Source organism: Homo sapiens, chromosome 19 (assembly GCF_000001405.40).
Source record: "Homo sapiens chromosome 19, GRCh38.p14 Primary Assembly".
Taxonomy (NCBI): Eukaryota; Metazoa; Chordata; class Mammalia; order Primates; family Hominidae; genus Homo; species Homo sapiens.
In genome coordinates this window covers 47,289,512-47,294,507 of record NC_000019.10, presented here as the reverse complement: position 1 = coordinate 47,294,507, position 4,996 = coordinate 47,289,512, and the positions used below count along the sequence as shown (strand labels likewise).

The window sequence follows — 4,996 nt, the reverse complement described above, 5'->3', positions numbered from 1 at the left end:
CAGAGCCGAGATCTCACCACCGCACTCCAGTCTGGGTGACAGAACAAGACTCTGTCTCAAAAAAACAGAGGCCAGGGCGGTGGCTCACACCTGTAATCCCAACACTTTGGGAGGCCAAGGTAGGAGGATCACGAGGTCAGGAAATCGATACCATCCTGGCCAACATGGTGAAACCCCGTCCTGGCCAACATGGTGAAACCCCGTCTCTACTAAAAATGAAAAAAAGAGCTGGGCATGGTGGTGCACGCCTGTAGTCCCAGCTACTCGAGAGGCTAAGGCAAGAAAATCGCTTGAACCAGGGAGGCAGAGGTTGCAGTGGGCCACGAGCCAAGATCATGCCACTGCACTCTGGCCTGGTGACAGAGCAAGACTCTGTCTCAAAAAAAAAAAAAAAAAAAAAAAGAGGAAGATCTCTTGAGCTCAGGAGATGGAGGCTACAGTGAGCTATGATCACACCACTGCACTCCAGCCTGGGTTAGAGTGAGACCATGTCTCTAAAAAATAAAAAAAATGAAAATTCAAATTTTTTTTTAAATGTAGGCTGGCCAATTGGACTTCATCAAAATGAAAAGCTTTTGCATTTTTTTCTTGAGATGAAGTTTCGCTCTTGTTGCCCAGGCTGGAGTGCAGTGGCACAATCTCAGCTCACTGCAACTTCCGCCTCCCAGGTTCAAGCGATTCTCCTGCCTCAGCCTCCTGAGTGGCTGGGATTCAGCCCTGAGCCACCACACCTGGCTAATTTTTTGTGTTTTTAGTAGAGATGGGGTTTCACCATGTTGGCCAGGCTGGTCTCAAACTCCTGACCTCAGGTGATCCACCTGCCTCGGCCTCCCAAAGTGCTGGGATTATAGGCGTGAGCCACTGCATCCAGCCAGCTTTTGCCATTATTATAAAGGCAATTTAAAAATAAATAAAATAAAAATGAAGGAGGAAGTGGCTGGGGCATTGATGCAGCAAACTCGCCTGGCCTTTAGGGAAGAGCTTCCCAGGGGCGTTACAAAGGAAGACATTACACATCCCCACACTTTTGGGGTGCACCTGGGGTCCAAGTAGGTTCCATGGTGCCAGAGAAAACCGAGAGGAGAGGGCTAGGCCCGGTGGCTCATGCCTGTAATCCCAGCACTTTGGGAGACCAAGGCAGGCAGATCACTTGAGGACAGCAGTTCGAGACCACCCTGGGCAACACGGTGAAACCCCGTCTCTACTAAAAATACAAAAATTAGCCAGGCGTGGTGGCACGAGCCTGTAGTCCCAGCTACTCAGGAGACTGAGACAGGAGAATTGCCTGAACCCAGGAGCCAGAGGTTGCAGTGAGCCGAGACTGCACCACTGCACTCCAGCCTGAGTGACACAGCTAGACCGTGTCTCAAAAAAAAAAAAGAAAAAAGAAAACAAATTGGTTTCTCTACTTCACCTCTAAATCAATGCTCAAAAAAAAAAAACCCTCAAAATTATCAGTTTTGTTTTTTGGATTTTTTGCGTGTTTGGTTGTTATTGGTAGAGACTAGATTTCACCATGCTGCCCAGTCTGGTCTTGAACTCCTGGGCTCAAGCAATCTGCCCGCCTTGGCCTTCCTAAGTGTTGGGATTACAGGCGTGAGCTGCTGCGCCTGGCCATAAACTACCATAGTCTTAAGAAGCAGTGAATTGTTACCTTTTCTGAGGCATATAATTGCCAGCATACCCAGGAGGCCCAAATATCTCAGTTGGGCTTGGAAGAAACTATTCCCAATGAAGTAGAGCTAATAAGGCATGTAAACTACACATAACAAACATCCTCAGAGAAATGACGGAGGATAATGGCAAGTCGAAGCGAGAAGAGGAGGTTATGAAGCAGAAGCTAACGGGAGATGAGGGATATGAAAAACTCAATTATTGAAATAATTATGTGTTGGATGGTGTATCAGAGGGCAGAATAGACAGGGCTTTAAAAATGAATAAATGAGGCCAGGCTTGGTGGTTCAGGCCTGTAATCCCAGCACTTTAGGAGGCTGACACGGGAAGATCGCTTGAGCCCAGGAGCTCAAAATTAGCCTGGGCAACACAGCGAAAGCCCATCTCTATAAAAAAATCAAAAAATTAGCTGGATGTGGTGGTGCACACCTGTAGTACCAACTACTGGGGAGGCTGAGGTGGGAGGATTGCTTGAGTCCAGGAGATCGAGGCTGCAGTGAGCTATGTTCACACCACTGCACTTCAGCCTGGCGCGGTGGCTCACGCCTGTAATCCCAACACTTTGGGAGGCCGAGACAGGCGGATCACGAGGTTAGGAGATGGAGATCATCCTGGCTAACATGGTGAAACCTTGTCTCTACTAAAAATACAAAAAATTACCTGGGCGTGGTAGTGGGCGCCTGTAGTTCCAGCTACTTGGGAGGCTGAGGCAGGAGAATGGCGTGAACCCAGGAGGTGGAACTCGCAGTGAGCCAAGATCGCGCAACTGCACTCTAGCCTGGGCGACAGAGCGAGACTCCGTCTCAAAAAAAAAAAAAAAAAAGTGGACGAGATGAAAATACTATTCCAGAAGCACCTGTAAGGGACAGAGAGAGGGAAACTGTAAGGAAAAAGTTAAGATATGTAAGCCAGGCATGGTGGCTCATGCCTGTAATCCCAGTGCTTTGGGAGGCCGAGATGGGTGGATCACCTGAGGTCAGGAGTTTGAGACCAGCCTGGCCAACATAGTGAAACCCCATCTCTACTAAAACTACAAAAAATTAGCCAGGCATTGTGGTGGGCGCCTGTAATCCCAGCTACTTGGGAGGCTGAGGCAGGAGAATCACTTGAATCTGGGAGGCAGAGGTTGCAGTGAGCAGAGATCACGCAACTGCACTCCAGCCTGGGTGTCAGAGCAAGAGTCTGTTTCATAAAAGAAGAATAATAATTCTCTGGATTACTAGGCAGAGACTCTTGTTCTCTTCCCTTACTTTTTCCAGAGTCTCTCTGTGCTGAGATGCCTGGAGTTGGGGGAGGGGTGACACAAGCTCCTCTGTGGCCACCACCTCTGGGACTGCACTGGGTCAGACCTGAAGCCAGCACAGCCCTGGGTCTCACCCAAGGCCCGCTGTACCCAGAGCCTGGAAACCACCTATGTTCACTCTAGGCTCGAGCGTTCTACAGCCAGTAGGTGGTGAAGCCAGCAGACTTGTGTTCATTTCTTCAGGATGGCGAGGTCCCCCCGGCCCTGGGTGGGTCCAGAGATGCCATGCAGGAGCTTGAACCCAGAGTTGGAAACCTTAGGAATCTACTGGGCGCTCTATTCTACTATAGCTGAGGGGCTACCCAAGCCACAAGACAAAGTCCTTCCCACTCTTCTCTCTCCTTCCCACAAGCCAAGAAGTCTCTCCCTGTGGCCACCACCCCAGGCCCACGGCAAGTACTGCCTGGCCACCACTGATGTTCACTCCAGGCCCAAGCGCTCTTCGGTCAGCTTGCAGTGAATCCTGCCAGGCCTAGAACTCTCCCTTCAAGGCTGTGGACTTCCCTCTGGCCCAGGGCAGGTCCAAAAATGCTGTCCAAGAGCCATGGCCTGGAATCGGGGACCCCAAGAGTGCACTTGGGGCTCTACCCCTCTGTGGCCAAGCTGGCAGCTAAGCTGCAAGACGAAGTTGCATTTACTCTTCACTTTGCTTTCCTTTTTTTTTTTTTGAGACATTGTCTTGCTCTGTTGCCCAGGCTGGAGTGCAGTGGCGCAATCTCAGCTCACTGCAACCTCTGCTTCCCGGATTCAAACGATTCTCCTGCCTCAGCCTCCCAAGTAGCTGGGATTGTAGGCATGCACCACCACACCTGGCTAATTTTTGTATTTTTAGTAGAGATGGGGTTTCGCCATGTTGGCCAGGCTGGTCCTGAATTCCTGACCTCAGATGATCCACCCACCTCAGCCTCCCAAAGTGCTGGGATTACAGACATGAGACATCACGCCCAGACTTCCCTTTGCTTTTTTTTTTTTTTTTTTTCCGAGACAGTGTCTTACTCTGTCATCCAGGCTGGAGTGCAATGGCGTGAACTGGACTCATTGCAGCCTCTGCCTCCCAGGTTCGAGCGATTCTCCTGCCTCAGCCTCCCGAGTAACTGGAATTACATGCGCCCCCCCCGACCCCCACCACGCCCAGCTAATTTTTATATTTTTAGTGGAGACAGGGTTTCACCATGTTGGCCAGGCTGGTCTCGAACTCCTGACCTCAGGTGATCCACTTGATCAGAAAGTGCTGGGATTACAGGCATGAGCCACCACGCCTGGCCTCTCTGCTTTCTCAAGCAGAAGGAGTCTCTCCCATGTAGCCACCACAGCCGGGAATGTGCCAGGTTCCACCTGAAGCCATCACGTTTGAGTCTCACCTAAGGCCCACAGCGTGAACCACCTGGCCTGGCCACCGCTGCTGATTATTCAGGGCCCAAGGGCTCTTTAGTCAGCAGGTGATGAACCTGCCAGGACTGGGTCCTTACCTTCAACACAGCAGCTTCCCTTCCCCCTCACGGTGTGTTCGAAATGTCCTCCAGGAGCTGGGGCCTGGAATGGGAGTCACACAGTTCTGCCCAGTGCCCTACCCTACTGAGGTAGGAGGCAGGGCTTGTACACAGGACCAAACTGAGGACTGGCTGAAACAGGTCTAGGGCAAAAGCAGTTTTCCATAAGACACACCCACCAGTGTACCGTATCAGTTTACCATTGCCATGGCAACACTCGGACCTTAGCACCACTTTCCATGGCAATGACCCGGTGACTGGAAATTACCACCCTCATCCTAGAAATTTTTGCATAAACTGCCCCTTGATTTGCATATAATTAAAAGTGGGTATAAATATGACAGCAGTGCTGCCTCTGGGCTGCTCTTCTGGGCACACTGCCTGTGGGGTAGCCCCGCTCTGCAAGGGGCAATTCCTCTGCTGCAGCTGTGCACTGAGGCTTCAGTAAAAGTTGCTATTTAACACCACTGAGCCAGACACGGTGACTCATGCATGTAATCCCAGCATCTTGGGAGCCCGAGGTGGGTGG

The 4,996-nt window shown here is 50.9% G+C and overlaps 1 annotated feature.

Annotated features, from left to right (window-relative positions):
- Positions 3,789–4,640: an enhancer, noted in NCBI's record as "H3K27ac-H3K4me1 hESC enhancer chr19:47793125-47793976 (GRCh37/hg19 assembly coordinates)". NCBI's record gives its function as "activates a minimal SCP1, AML or CMV promoter by ChIP-STARR-seq in naive H9 embryonic stem cells {active_cell/tissue: H9 hESC(naive)}" and the evidence as "EXISTENCE:reporter gene assay evidence [ECO:0000049][PMID:30033119]".